The sequence below is a fragment of the Homo sapiens genome, chromosome 7 (assembly GCF_000001405.40).
Source record: "Homo sapiens chromosome 7, GRCh38.p14 Primary Assembly".
Classification (NCBI taxonomy): Eukaryota; Metazoa; Chordata; class Mammalia; order Primates; family Hominidae; genus Homo; species Homo sapiens.
In genome coordinates, this window is record NC_000007.14 from 123,770,469 (window position 1) to 123,786,833 (window position 16,365).

Sequence of the window (16,365 nt, forward strand, 5' to 3'; positions counted from 1 at the left end):
GAAGTTCCAGGGAAGACCTGGGAGAAAAAGTAACATTAAAGTTGGAAAGATAGGTAACAAGATGAGTCAGGGTGGAGGTTTCTAGCTGAGTGGACAGTGTGAACAAAGGCTCAGAGATGGGGAAGAGCAGGGCGTAATCACACAATGAAGTGTAGTAATTCTGCTCAGGGGAGCATTAGTCATGGAGAGGAGTGTTGAGAAATGAAACTAGAGTACGTTGGGGTCAGATTATTCAGCAGACAATAGGAAGTAGTAGAGATTTTGGGGCAAAGAATTTACATGATCCGAGTTGTGCTTTAAGAAAAGTAATTTATCAAAAAAAAAAGGTTTTATATATGACATATGCTTAAAATGGATTACATGGCAGAGATTCTGTGTCTTATTATGAAGCAATTATAGTCCGTGAAAGGCAAAAAGAAGATATGAATTAGAGATGGGGTACTGAGAATAAGAAGGAGGAAATGAATGTAAATACGGTAGGAATAGAACCAGAGCTTGGTAATTTATTGGAGGGCTTCAGGAGACAGAAGAGAAAAAATAATGGTAGTTTCATTAACAGAAAAAGAGGGTGAGGAAGAGATAGGTTTTAGAAGAAGATAAAAAGTCCAGTTAGTTCTAAGCATCCTAACTTTAAATAATCTACCCTGGGAAGAGCAGGCTGAAGAGAAGATCTATTTCTAAAAATATGTTTCCTTTCCTGATATAATATCATGGATAGTTGAGCTTCAACTGACAAATAAATAAAGGCAGTCCTCATCTTGCTTGGTACGATGTTAACTGAATCTCATATTTATTGAAATTATTTCCTCACTATTCACTGATTCCAAATCTCAGTCAACATGGTATCATGCAAAATGAGGGATACAGATTTCAAAAACTACATGTACGTGTTGCTGTATCTTAGTACTAATGATATTTCAGACTGCATAATTCTTTGTTGTGGGGCTGTCTGTGCGTTGGATGTTTAGCAACCTCTCTAGCTTCTACCCACTAGATGCCAGTAGCATCTAGTATCTGATTTCAGTTACCCAGCTTGTTATTCTCTTCAGCTCATCATTCACATACATTGGCAACCTTATATATTTTTTCCATAGTGTTTCATCTCACTAATATCTTGTTGCAATTTAAAACCTTTTAGTTGTTATGATATTTTGGCATTTTTGTTATGGGTAGTTTGTACATAATACCAATTACTTGACTTATTGGTTAGTGTGTGAACTTCACTGGCCACAGGGTGCCTAGGTTAAACATTATTTCTGAGAGTGTCTGTGAGGGTGTTTCTGGATGAGATTAGCGTTTGTTTTCTTTGCTTGTTTTTTGTTTGTTTGGTTTGAGGTTTTTTTTTTTTTTTTTAACTTACCCATCCATGTAGAGATTAGCATTTGAACTAATGGACTCAGTAAAGTACATTGCCCAAGATGGAGGGCATCATATAAACTGTTGCGGGTCTGAGTAGAACAAAAGGGAAAGGGAAGAGAAATTAACCACTTTTGCTTCCTGCCTGTCTGTTTGAGCTGGGACACATCACCTTGTCTTCTCCAGCCCTCAGACTGGGATTTACACTATCAGCTCCCCTGGGTCTCAGGCCTTTGAACTCAGACTGACTGACATCGGCTTTCCTGAGTCTCCAGCTTGCAGATGGCAGATCATGGGACTTCTCAGCCTCCATAATCATGTGAGCCAATTCCTCATAATAAATCTCCTTTTTTATATATAAAAAGGTGGAGACCCAGGAAGTTCAAAGCTCCAATATGTTTATATATTTCCTACTGGTTTTGTTTCTCTGGAGAACCTTGACTTATATACTTGGATTTGGATAGAAGTCACTAAGGCTGGAAGCAGAGTGATTGGTGGATAGATTCCCTGGGCAACCGCAACATCCCGTCGTGGTTCAGGCAATAGTGGGCATCTCAATAGGTGGCAAGAGCATAATCATAATACCCATATACCTGAGACATGTGACACTCTGGCATCTAGACAAGTGACACATGGGACTTGTCATCTGAGAGGCTTGTGCACAAATAACAGGATTTCCAACCATTGAAAACAATGTTTCTGTTACAAAATTTCAAACGTGGAGACTAAAGTTAAAATAGACAAAAGGGTGCTTCATCTTAGTGGTAGCAATGAGTAAGTAGGCAAAAAACTGAGACCGAAACTAGGAATTAGGGACAAAGCAGCAATCCAATTATCTGATGCATGTGGTGTAGAAATTGTGACTTGTGGAACAGTAAATGAAACCTGTGGAAAGTGAAGCATCTTCGAAATGGAATTATAGAAAATTGTCTTAAAGCCAAGCTCTTCCTGATGAAAGCTGCTTCTGTGCCTTTTGCCTCAAGTCAGAAGGAAGTGGGGTGGGGCTGAAAGATCAAAAGCTGCAGAGGGCCATCCACCAAGTGAGGGACAAGGACACTGTTAGCAGATGTTACAGTTAAAAAACGAAATCTGATGTCAGACCAGACTACACCCATGAAAAAGAACTGATAGTGCCAGCTATTCATGGCACACCGCATTGTCTCTCCTAAGATTCAGTGGTGGTCTTGATTTGTTTTCTTTTTCTTTTTTTCTTATGTCATTGGAACTTGTATTCCATAAGAATATTTTTCTGATGGTTTAAGTCTAATCTTGCCCATGAAAGCTACTGGAAGTCTTTGCTTTTTCCTGATTCTTATTCGCACTTCGTTTTTGCTTCTTTATATTTTATAGTTAATTAAGGAGTTTTCGCTGTTAATGCAACAAATAGTCCAGGTGCTCTTCTTGTATGAGTTCCTGTTTGTGCTCTTATATGGGAAAAAACATATAAACTGTGGTTTATCAGATTTGACCTATTTCTACATTTTAAAAAAGTAAATATTTACTGTTTCATTTATTTAATACTTATCTATTTATGAATAATAAGTATTCTTTGTTATTTTCCTTAATTATTTCCTCTTTTCTATGGAAGAGTAAGATAAGAATAAATTAATTGCTACCTGAAATTACATTATTGGTTTTAAAATTTCATATTAATTTATACTAGCTCAATTTGTACTAGTTCAAACAGGAATAACTACCGGGTACTTACATACTTTAGGGATAGATTTTATCTCACAGAATGTTTTTACATAATGTATATTTTTTTACATGGTATTAGCTGTTAACAATTCAATTTTACCTTGGGGTGTGTGCATGTGTGCATGCGCATATACGTTTGTGTGCATTTTCTTTACAGGAACCAACTCATTGAGTCAGACCTTTACTGTTTGCTTAATTAAATTCCTCAAGCTCATGATTCAGAATTCAAACAATATCTCAATCTAGATGGGAATTTTTAATTTTTCAGATTGAACTTTCTTCTTCTTAGGCAATGCTCATTCTTTGTTTTCACCTCTCCCTCAAATTTCCTGCTTCTTAATGAATTTAATTAGTCAGTCAGTCAATAATTCCATATTCATCCATCCATTCATCAAACATTTGTTTTACACTCTGTTATGCATGGCAGTCTGCTAGGCAGTGGGGGGTCAAGGGTGAGTGAGACATGGTCTCGCATGTTTAATTTAATTGTATTTTATTTTTTATTTTTGTTTTTTCAGAGGTAGAATCTTGTTCTGTTGCCCATGCTGTAGTGCAGTGGCTTGATCATAAGCTCACTGCAGCTTCAAACTCCTAGGTTCAACTCCTGGGTTCAAGTGATCCTCCTACCCCAGCCTCCCAATTAGCTGAGACTATAGGTATATATGACCATGCCCAGTTAATTTTTTAAAAACTTTCTAGAGACATGGGGTTTTGCTATGTTGCCCAGGCTGGTCTTAAACTCCTGGCTTCAAGCAATCCTCCCACCTCGGCCTCCCAAAGTGCTGGGATTATAGGCGTGAGCCACCACCATGCCTGGTCACATGCTTAATTCTTGCTCCTATGTTTTGCTCACTGGGTGTGGTATGCTCCTTTGCCTTGATCTTCAATTTGTCACAAAATCTTGTCAATTTTCCTTTTTTTTTTTCCTGTGAAATCTGTCCTTTGCTGTTCTTTGCAGCCTCTGTTACCATCCTAGACCAGATATCTACTATAATTGGGATAGCGGCAACTGCTTATTAATGGATCTCTCTTTTTCCCCTAATTCATGGTCAGTGCTGCAGTCATAGGATCTCCTTGAAATGCAAAGCAGACTTTGTCTCAAGCCACTCAAAAACCCTTCAGTATTTTTTCATTTCCATTACGATAAAGTCCAGATTCCTAACATTCCTCAAGGCTTTTTCTGATCCGGCTCACATAGATCTCACCTGCCTATTCAGTTCCTTGAACATGTGTTCTCTCACCTCTGGGTCTTTGGAGGCACTTTCCCTTCTGACTCTTTATGTCGATATACTTTATCTCTCACCTTCTTTGCCATGCTTTTCCTAGCTAATTCCAACCAAATTTAAGTCTCAGTTTTGCACTCACTACTTCCAGGATGCTTTCTCTGGGTTAGGTATCTCTTCTATGTGTACCTTTACCACAGACAGTACTAAAATTGCTTATTTTCTTGTTCTATGTCCCTCTACAAGAAACTTAAGAGCAGGGAAAATATCGTTTCCACTCTGGATACCTGGAGTCTAGCTTAGTGCTTGTTGCATTGTAGGTGCTAAGTAAGCACTTGATTGAATGAGACAACTCATGAAATGTTTTAAGAGAATACTTGCACATCTTTTAAAAATGCCTTGAGAGGCCAGGCATGGTGGCTCACGCCTGTAATCCTGGCACTTTGGGTGGTCAAAGCAGGAGGATTGCTTGAGGCCAGAAGTTTGAGACCAGCCTGGGCAACATTGCAAGACCTCATCTCTACAAAAAGTTTAAAAATTAGGCATGGTGGCACATGCCTATAGTACTAGCTACTCAAGAGGCTGAGGCGAGAGGATTGCTTGAACCTAGGAGTTTGAGGCTGCAATGAGCTGTGATTACGCCATGGCACTCCATACTGGGAGACAGAGCCAGATCCTGTCTCTTTAAAAAAGAAAAAAAAATGAAAGAAAAAAAGTGCCATGAGAGTTCCTATTTTATATTCCATACTAAAGCTATATATATTGAATATCAGAAACAACTTGTTGTTAGTCTTCAACCACATCTGGAATAAGACAAAAACTACAGCAAAGTCACTCTGCTTTGTACCATGTATAAAATGCTGAGTGCAGTCCACTTGTGACAAGGACTTGATGGACTTGATGTAGCCTTCTTCATTCTAATCTCTGATTTTGGTTTTATCTTTATTTTTCCTCCATCTTTAGATGTCATCTTTAGATGTCTTTAGATGTCATCTTTCCTGTCATCTTTAGATGACAGACCAAAAGAGTTCCCTACTTTTTTTTGATCATTCTCCAGATGAATCTTTAAAATGACACACTACCCTAGGCAACTGGTGTAACAGGAAGCCCCCTAAACCAGAACTTGGAAGACCTGCAGCTATCTGGAAATATAGAGCAGACCACGTGTGTTTCAAGTTTGCAAGCTCAAACTGGCCTGGCCACTTTAGCCATCTGGAAAATCAGAGGAATTGGATTAGAGAAGATTTTTTCAGGCACACCCAACACTTGCCATCTATAATCCATTTTAAATAGGAATTAATTTAGACAGTTTCAATTTATATAAAAGTTTCAAGAAAATGTCTACTGCATAAAGTAAGATATCTTTCTGTATGTCTCTGCTTATACGGCAAAGATCTCAGCTTTAAAGAGGACTGTGCCTATTGCTGGGACTCAGCATGACTGGGTGGCATTTGGGAACTGGTAGGATAAGCCTAAGAAGAGCGTGATTTCCATGGATTGATTGGGATGAAGACTTTCTGGCTGCAGGAAGTCTGAGGAAGCTTTATGCATGGGAGCCTGGGAGCTAGAAATCAATGCAACGATGGGCGACATGCTGTCTCTTTCTTGATCTTGTATTAAATTATGGCCCTTTGGGGAGAGGCATGTTAGGTGAAAGCTGCAGGTGTGTGGGTTTTTTGTTGTTTTTTGAGATGGGGAATCACTCTGTTGCACAAACGAGTGCAGCAGTGTGATCATAGCTCACTGTAACCTCAAACTTCCGGGCTCAAGTGATCCTTCTGCCTCAGTTTCCCAAGTGGTTGGGACTACAGGTGGGCATCACCACGCCTGGCTAATTTTTATTTTTATATTTTGTAGAGATGTTGTTTCGCTATGTTGCAGTTGGCTGCTCCCGAACTCCTGGCCTCAAGCTGTCCTCCCACGTTGGCCTCCCAAAGTGCTGTGATTGTAGGTGTGAACCACTGTGCCTGGCTGAAGGCACCATTTTCATGAGGGAAGATGAGGTTTTGGAGAGGGACATGTCCTACATTTTGGGGCAGCACACACTACAGCACTGGCACAAAGAGTTGTGAGGTGCTCTTTCCATCTCTACACTGCAGATTTGGGATATATTAGGAAACATGTCTTTTGACAGTGATGATGCTTCCCTTCAAGTGGCTTCTCAGCCAAGGTTGGTGAAAGGATTGATTGATTGTGACTACAGGCAAAATACCCCTGAAAACTCTCAAAAAATAATTACGGTGAAGGGGAATTTTGCAACAGACCATTATCCTGGGAAATACGTAGGAGAATAAGAAGCTCACCAAATTCAAGTAATTACAGTTAATAAAAACTCCTTGGCACTCCCAGATAATGAGACCATTTTGAAGCCATACGCCACCACCATTGTGTAATTTTTATGAAAGAAATTCTCTTACCATTATTTATTCTTGCTCTGTGCTGAATGGTAGCCACTAGCCACATGTATCTGTTGTCTACTTGAAATGTGGCAGATTTGAATTGAAATGTGCTATAAGTGTAAAATACATACTAGATTTCTGAAACAGTATAAAAAAGAATGTAAAATATTCCTTTTTATATTGATAACATATTGAAATAATAATGTCTTGGATATATTGGGTTAAATAAAACATATAACTAAAATTATTCATATGATTCTTTTTACTTCATTTTAATGTGGCTAATAGAAAATTAAAAATTATACATGTGGCTTGCATTATACTTTTGTTAGACAGAGTTGACTGATATTTAACATTTAAGTGCTAAATCATATGCTGCTTATTTTACTTTTTAATTCACACGTGCAAAAAGTTTTGGCTTGATAAAATTATACACTCCTTGAGGATAGGTTCTGTGTTTCTATTTTTCATTATTCCAGATGCTTAAGCACTGTTAGCACCTGATTTCGCTATATACTTGTTGATTTGAATTAATTTAAAAATATTTTTTTTATTTCCATAAAACTGTGAACCACTTTTAGATGGTGTCCTAGATAAGTGCATTTTGATTATAAACAGAATTTTGTATTGTTATAAAAAGCATTCAATTCAGAAAATGTGCTAATGAATAACAGAATTATTTTAATTCCATCATGAGTTTATTTTTCCATCTCCTTGTTTTATACTTCTAAAATGAGAAATTTAAGAAAGAAATCAGGGCAAAATTCTTCGTTAGTTTTTTTTTTTTGCTTATTTCTATAAGGTTTTATTAATTTATAATTGAGAGAAATATTAACTGAAGTTCTAAAATTCTAAATTATTTTTATTTTAACTACTTATTTTGAAATAATTTTGTCATAGAAGGCTTGTAAGAACAGCACAAGACAACTCCTATATACCTTTCAAGCAGATTTATCAATTTTTTTTGCCACATTTGCTTTACCATTCCATACCCATCTTTCTATCTGTCTGTCTGTCTATCTATCTATCTATCTATCTATCTATCTATCTATCACCTATTCGTATTATTTCAGGAGTCATTTGAGAGATAGTTGCAGGCATTATACTTCTTTACTCCAAAATACATCAATGAGCATTTCCTAAGTGTATTCTTTTATAAAATCATAATAAAACGATCAATTTCATGACATTTAACACTAATTCAATGCAGGTATCCATTATACAATACATATCTAAATTTTGCCAATTGACGGGGGTTCAATTCAAGATCACGTCTTACATTTAATTGCCATGTCTTTTTTAGTTTCCTGTAATCAAGAACAGTTTCCAGCCTTTTTTTTCCTCTTTTATCTTTCATGACAGTATTATTTTTAAGAGCGTGGGCCTCTTAAATTTAAATAATTTTTCATTGTTTCGTACGATGTCTTTTGATGTGAGTTTCCTAGTGATGAGATGCAGGTTATGAATCTTTTGGCAGGAGCACAACAAAAGTGAAGTTGTGATCTCGGGCGCCACATCAAGAGCACATGATGATAGCTTCCCATTTTGGTGATGCCAGCTTGATTAAGATGGTGTCCACAGATTTTTGTACTGTAAAATTTCAGGTTTTACCTTTGTAATTCATAAATAGTAGAGAGACACTTTGACAATTGAAATATCTAAATATTCCTTTTCAAATTTTTACCTAAATTTTTAGCCCAGATTGATGAATCTTACATGAATTAATTACACTTCCTCATACTCTTTAGCCAAAGCAATATATTGCAACAGTTTAAATGCCAAGTAGATATGAGAATCCAAATGAATTCTATTAAGCAGACATTGAAGAGATTTGTAAAAATGTAAAACAATGCCACTCTTCTCACTAGCTTTTTTGTTTGTTTGTTTTGGAAAAATAAATATATTTACATACAAATATGTTACCCATGTTAATATGTAAGAGGCTTATATAAGATTCCAGATTCCACATTTCAACTAAACTTTATTGTTATTTTAAAATGAATTAATAAAGATTTTAAAAAATTTCTCAGTATTAATTTCTAATCTAGTAAACATCAATAGATATAGCCCACATAAACCAAAGCTCTCTAAAGTCCTCAACAAGTTTGAGAATAAAAAGGGGTCTTGAGAAGAAAAAGGTTAAGAACTATTGTCCAAGACCAAATGAAATGCTGATATGAGTGCTACAACCTAACATTTCTCGGGGCAGTGACAATGAAGGAGAATTGAAACTGAGATTTCCAGAGTGCTTGCCCTTTGGACAAAAGCATCTTTAGGAAAGGCCTGATATTTTCCATAGAACATCTTTAATAATGCACATAATGTAATATTTACAGGTGAAATAATATGATGTCTGAAATTTGTTTTAAAATAATATAATGAAAATAATGGTGATGGTGGTGGTAAGGGTATAGATGGAATAAGATTGTGCTGTTAATTATTGAAGCTGCATGATTGGTTCATGGGGATTCATTATAAAATTCTATTTTGAGTATGTTTGAACATTTTCAAAATAAAAAAAATTTTAAAATTTTCATCTCTAGGTAAACTTTTTAATAGTATAAATTTAGGAGAGAATCAAGCTTAATTTTCTCAGATGTTATAATTATTCAAAAATTCTGTTAATTATGGTTTCTTGGATTTACATAGTACCTTTCTTCTGTAGAGTTCAAACTGATTCATCTTGGCTGACTTTTAAAATATGAGTACTCATTATCTATTTATTTGGTCTTTTGAAACATCTTAGGGAAGTTTGCAAATTAAAAAAATAAACACATCAAATACACATAAAAAACTATCATACAATGACAAGTAAAATTATTGCATTTTTGGAATTAGCTGTAATACAGTATATGTTGCTTGCATGCAAATTGCATAATTCTCATTAAGACTGTAGGCTCTAAAATCAGTTAAATTTGAATTTGATTTCTGGCTCTCCTACTTTATAACACCTGTAATAACAGTAATAATAATAGAAATACTAACAAATCCAGTATTTGTAGATCTTGAAATGTGACAGGTTTTGTGCTAAGTCATACTATAGATTACTTTTGGTGAGTAAATAAGCTGCCTAAATATATATTCGCTAAGAATTTCATCAGGATTTCAAAACCAGGGTGCCAGATCATCGTCCTTGCTCTTACCCACTGCACTACATTGCTCTATCTTACCAGCTAAGTGCTTTGCCTAAGTTATTTAATCTTTATCAGCCTAGTTCCCTATTTAATAAAACAGGGATAAAAACGTATCCACTTCATAGGCACAAGGATTACCTCAGATAATGTACAGAAAAGACTGACACATGGCTGTCACATAAGAATATAAGGAATGACAGTTAAGATTATTTTTATTATTCATTTTTCCTCACCAAGTAGTATAGCTCCCTTAGAATCATCATCTAAGAATATATGAAATCATCTGCACAGCCAAATACAAAATATCTAAGAGTAGTTTTAGAACTCTCCCTCCAATATGGTTGCCACTGGTCACATATGTGGGGAAAAGCAAGAGAGATCAGATTGTTACTGTGTCTGTGTAGAAAGAAGTAGACATAGGAGACTCCATTTTGTTATGTACTAAGAAAAATTCTTCTGCCTTGAGATTCTGTTAATCTATAACCTTACCCCCAACCCCATGCTCTCTGAAACGTGTGCTGTGTCAACTCAGAGTTAAATGGATTAAGGGCGGTGCAAGATGTGCTTTGTTAAACAGATGCTTGAAGGCAGCACGCTCCTTAAGAGTCATCACCACTCCCTAATCTCAAGTACCCAGGGACACAAAAACTGCGGAAGGCCGCAGGGACCTCTGCCTAGGAAAGCCAGGTATTGTCCAAGGTTTCTCCCCATGTGATAGTCTGAAATATGGCCTCGTGGGAAGGGAAAGACCTGACCGTCCCCCAGCCCGACACCCGTAAAGGGTCTGTGCTGAGGAGGATTAGTAAAAGAGGAAGGAATGCCTCTTGCAGTTGAGACGAGAGGAAGGCATCTGTCTCCTGCCTGTCCCTGGGCAATGGAATGTCTCGGTATAAAACCCGATTGTATGCTCCATCTACTGAGATAGGGAAAAACCGCCTTAGGGCTGGAGGTGGGACCTGCGGGCAGCAATACTGCTTTGTAAAGCATTGAGATGTTTATGTGTATGCATATCTAAAAGCACAGCACTTAATCCTTTACATTGTCTGTGATGCAAAGACCTTTGTTCACGTGTTTGTCTGCTGACCCTCTCCCCACAATTGTCTTGTGACCCTGACACATCCCCCTCTTTGAGAAACACCCACAGATGATCAATAAATACTAAGGGAACTCAGAGGCTGGCGGGATCCTCCATATGCTGAACGCTGGTTCCCCGGTTCCCCTTATTTCTTTCTCTATACTTTGTCTCTGTGTCTTTTTCTTTTCCAAATCTCTCGTCCCACCTTACGAGAAACACCCACAGGTGTGTAGGGGCAACCCACCCCTACACACGTATGCACTTGAAATGTGGCTAGTCAGAATTATGATGGGCTATATGTATAAAATACACACCAGACTTCAAAGATTTAATATGAAAAACAAAAGTATCTCTTTAATATTTTTATATTGCATGTATATTGAAATAATAATACTATGAATATTTTGAGTTAAAATAGTATTAAAATTAATTCTACCTGTTATTAAACAAAGTTTAAGTGGCTCTTAGAACCTGTAAAATCAAATTGTGGCTTTCCTGTTTCTATGGACAGTGCTAGTCTAGAACCTGGGTTACTTCATAAATGGTAATTCCTTTATGAAGCTTTTTCTTCGAGGTAGGGTTTCACTTTATATCCCAGGCTGGAGTGCAGTGGCAAGTTCCTGGCTCACTGCAGCCTTGGACTCGTGAGGCTCAAGAAATCCTCCCACCTCAGCCTCCTGAGTAGTTAAGACTATAGGCACGCCATCACCATGGGCTAATATGCTTCCCCTGCCTCTGCCTTGCATTAAAGCCTGAGATACTGCTGCCTTTCCATAGTTGAAATCATTTACAATGTGGTTAATATCAATAATACAAAAGAAAAAAGAGGTTGTTGACATATATGATCCTAGTATTTTTGGTGGGGTAGACTCTAGGCAGGAAGCCAGCATTCTTCAATCATCTTCCTAACTGCTAAGTGAGAAATTCCATTGTGTATTATTCTTCCCCAACCATACAACCTTATCACTCAAATTATAGTTTCAGGAAAAGAGCTATAAGAATGGTGAGAATCCTTGAGCTAGAAAAATAAGAACATTACATTATGTTTAAAATGCAAGTAATCTTCCTCTTGATATTATCAACACATATACTAATAGCAGACGGGTATTGACATAAAATAGTTTTATCTCTTGGCCATATTGATTTAGTTTTTTTTCAAAGTGTATTTAAAAAAAAAACCCTATAAAAGTAGGGTGACCATACATCCTGATTTTCCTGGCAGGATCCCAGTTTACACCTGTTGTCCTGGCATAATTATTAACTAGCTCTCCCTTTCACTTTCAAAAGTGTTTCAGTATGGACAGTAAGTTTCATGGTTCACCTTTCATAAGATCCTCATTGATGGTAGGATTTCTTGATTCAATAAGCTTGGGAAATAAATCATATTCCATCTCCCTCTTAGAAATTTACAACATGTACTCGCTTCTGAGAAGTCATATAATAAATGTTTTTAACTTAGTGTAACTCATTTCCTAAATTTATTTCATTATTGAAACTCCCTTTTTTCCTGTGACACATATAACATCCCACAGAACACACTTAAAATTAGTTTAACCATATTCAGAATTTTTCAATGCCAGGTTTTTAACTAACAGGTTTCTACCATAGGAGGAATAACAATTTTTTATCATTATGTAAATAAATATATAATCTTTTGATTATATATTTATAAATCAAATATAAATATAAAGTCAAAAGCGTTTGACTTTTTCTAAAGTGTAGCATTGATATGAGCAGGTATCTGCTTAAAGAAATTTTTTCCTTTTATTCATGATCAGGAAATCTGAGTTTCAGCTAATTTCAGTTAATTTCAATAAATATTCATCCCATGCGTCCTACACATCAAGCCCTGGGCTAGTACTGATAATGCAAAGATGAATCAGACATGATCCTTTATGGATTAAGTTGTATAGAAAATGTGGATTAGTTTGCCTTCTCTATGTTGGGACTTTTTTCCCTAATTTTTATTGATTGGTTGTTTTCATAATTGCATTTCTACTTCTCATCATATTATCAACAGTCTATGAAGGTTAGTAGAATTAATCTAGTGGTGGAACACACATGATTGTATTAAGAATTAATAGTTAAGTGATATAACAAGACATAAATGAAGTGATATTAAAACATAGAGAAGGAATTACTCAGTTCTCCCCAGAATCATTGAAAAGGATTTCACTGACGAGGTCCTATGTGAGTAGAGCCTTGAAAAAAATTAAAATGCTGACAGACACACAGAGAGTATAAGTATTTTCAGGCCAAGAGAGTTGTTTGCACAATTCCAGTAGAGACCATGTAAGCCCATGTTCCATGCTGCTGGGAACAGGTTAGGGTGATGGGGGGCAAATATAAGTTTAAAAAAAAATTGGGAACCAAACATAAAATCTGTTTAAATATGATTTAAGGAGAATGAAGAAACGACCTATGATTTTAATGACTAGACTTTATGTCATTGGTGAGTACCCTTCAATATTGGACAGCCAACTCTTTAAAAGACTGATGAGAAAATTTCACTGGCGTGTTAAATGTCTACCAAAGAAATAAAAGTATGCTAAGTTACCACCACATAAAATAGCTTTTGGTCACTCCCTTTCAATAAAATAATTGTCATAAAATGTGTTTGTAATCTAATCTTACTATTTTAGCAAGAACTTCCTCCAGAAAGTACTTAGTCACTGTGTACATGCGTGTGTGTTCATGTAACAGCAACAGAGTATATGTGTAAAAGAGAGTTTAATTCTGTTGTTTGAATATCCTTCAGTTTCCCATCTGTATAGTAAATAATTTTCCTGGTATTTTAAAGTACGTCTAGTCTTGATTTAAAAAGAAACTCCTTAATTTCAGTATATTTGTTAAAATAAGGTGTTAGATAAGTGAGTTCAAACTATGTCTAACAAACATATTAGTCAGAAATTTAGCACAGACTTTGTATACTGCATAATAGCAATATCATAATTGTTTTTCAAAACTCTTGAGATATTGATAATCTAGAACTTTACATTTTTCACCAGTTGAGAAGTTGCTTAATACAACTAGAAAATGTGACATAAGCCTCACACTGACCTCACTTAATGACCAGCCAAAGGAAAACAGAAGTTTAGAGGCTTCACAGCTGCTGACACAGAGTCCTTGGAAAGAATTATTTTGGAATATTCTTACTGTTGCTAAAGAAAGGAATGAGAAGGTCAGAAATAGGAAACCAGGAAGAAAACAAGCTTGTCAGCATTCAAAACTGATTACCAGGGAATTACTTTCTGGTTAAAAATCCACAGTGTTGCAGTAACTTTATTTAGCAATGTTTTTCTCAAAGGACTTTCATTGTGTGTGTTTTGCTACAAATAAATTTGCTTACCTTAACTCTATAAAGAGCTAAACAAACCACATCTGCTTTTATTTGAATTTGCTAGTTTTCACCACCACTACCAATTCCACTGAAAACAAGGAGCCTTCCAGGATGTGGGAAGGACCTTGGTAGTCGCAGGTTGGATTATGTGGTTGTTGCTTTTGTTACTGTACATATCTTAGAGTAAGTCAGGTATCAAGCTGTGTGACCTCTAGAACTAGCAACTAGAATCCTGCTACTGTGTTAGGGAGTTGTATGTTGAGTGTAACAAAGAGAGAAGTGGTGTTTTTCTGATCAAAACCAGCTGGATAATTTATTTTCATTCTTCCATTTGCCTTGACACTTGTACCATAAACAATTATTGAAAAATTAAGTACATATATATTTTTTGAGACAGGGTCTCTCTCTGTCACCGGGCTAGAGTGCAGTGGCATGATCACGGTTCACTGCAGCCTCCACTTTCCAGGCTGCAGCCTCTGCATCCTGTGTTTAAATGATCCTCTGGCCTCAGCCTCCCAAGTAGCTGGGACTACAGGTGCACGCCACCACGCCTGGTTATTTTTTTTTATTATCTGTAGAGAAAATGTCTCCCTATGTTGCCCAGGTTGGCCTCAAACTTTGGGGCTCAAGTGGTTCTCCCACCTTGGCTTCCTAAAGTGCTGGGATTACAGGCGTAAGCCACTGTGCTGGACCTAAGTATTTGGATTTCTTTAAACAAATAAAACATGTCTCACTTGGCTAGCTAGCCACTCTACCTGTTATATGAGGCAGTGGGCAGTCCATGAGTTGAGATTCAGAAGGGCTGCACTCAATGTTCTACTTATTTACTACTTGATTAACCTTGTCTAAGGCAAGTTAACTTTCTTAGTCCCAGTTTCACCATCTTTAAGAATGGGGATGATGATACATATATTGTAAAGAAGTGATCAAAAGAGATTGTATATGCCACGTATTTCATGAAAATAATAATGTGCTGCACTCTGCTGTACTCCTTCATCTCCCATCCCTTCCACAAACACATTTTTACTTCCCTTTTGCTTCTTTAAGTTCTTTGAACTCAGAGCTGGATTAAGGCATGGGACACATGGACAGCCTCAGTTGAGTGCCAACCTATAAAAATGCTACCCAGCCCTGGATTACATTGAAAATATGTTGCCAGATAATGCAGGCTTTGATTTGCTATCCTAGGCAAAATGTAAATTTACATTTCCTTTCCTGGCAAAAGAAGCAAGCCCTTCAGTAGAAACAAGAAAACAAAACAAAACAAAACAAAACAAAACAAAACAAACAACTACAACTCCTTGCTAGAATCACCTCTCTTTTCTGAGCGTTCTTGCACACAAGCAGTTACAAATAGCCAAAATCCCAAGGTCCAAAATGCAGGCCATAATACTGCTTAATAGGGACATGATTCACCTTTTAATTTAAAATTTTAATCTCTGAATATGCTTCCAACTAAGTGGTCACATTTTTTGAAAATACAGACTGTGCTTTAAGCAGAAGTCAATCAGTAAAAAAATTTGTTTTTATGTACAACTTTTTATTAATATAATTTTTCACACTCTACATAAGTGCTCAAAAAGTAGTTTGGGGTGAAAGAGGTGTCAAATCACTTGGTTGCCAATGATGCTGAGGTTTGCTTGCACTCACTATGATTTTTCTACATATTTCCACCTCCACACATACTATCCTTACTCCACTTTGTTCACTACTTATCTTTTGACCCATTTGAAAAATCAATTCATCTATGATACCTTCTTTTCTCTGTTATTTCCCTACAGGGAATTACAATGACTCCTTGATTCTAGAACATCAGCTTTATTTTTTTTTTTTGAAAATCAGAGCCAAACAAATAGAATATTAAAAGTATGCATCAGTTTTAAGACATGTTCCAATGGGGAAACATTAAAGTAATCAAACAAGTTTTAAAATCTAGTAAATGGGGTAGTTGCTTTGTCTGCCACAATTGTGTTGCAACCTTAGCACATAATACATTCTCTATTTTGGTATGTATCACATGCTATCTATCTATCTATCTATCTATCTATCTATCTATCTATCTTTCATCTATCTAAACTGTAAAGGGTATGAATTTGGTTCATGAGACTTGGGTGAATAAAGTCTGCATTATTAACTGGGC

The 16,365-nt window shown here is 36.4% G+C and overlaps 1 protein-coding gene across 1 annotated transcript in view; it reads left to right on the forward strand.

The window, feature by feature from the left end:
• The window catches only part of HYAL4 (hyaluronidase 4), a 113,774-nt gene that overhangs the window by 6,761 nt on the left and 90,648 nt on the right, over positions 1–16,365 (forward strand). The window lies entirely within an intron of this gene.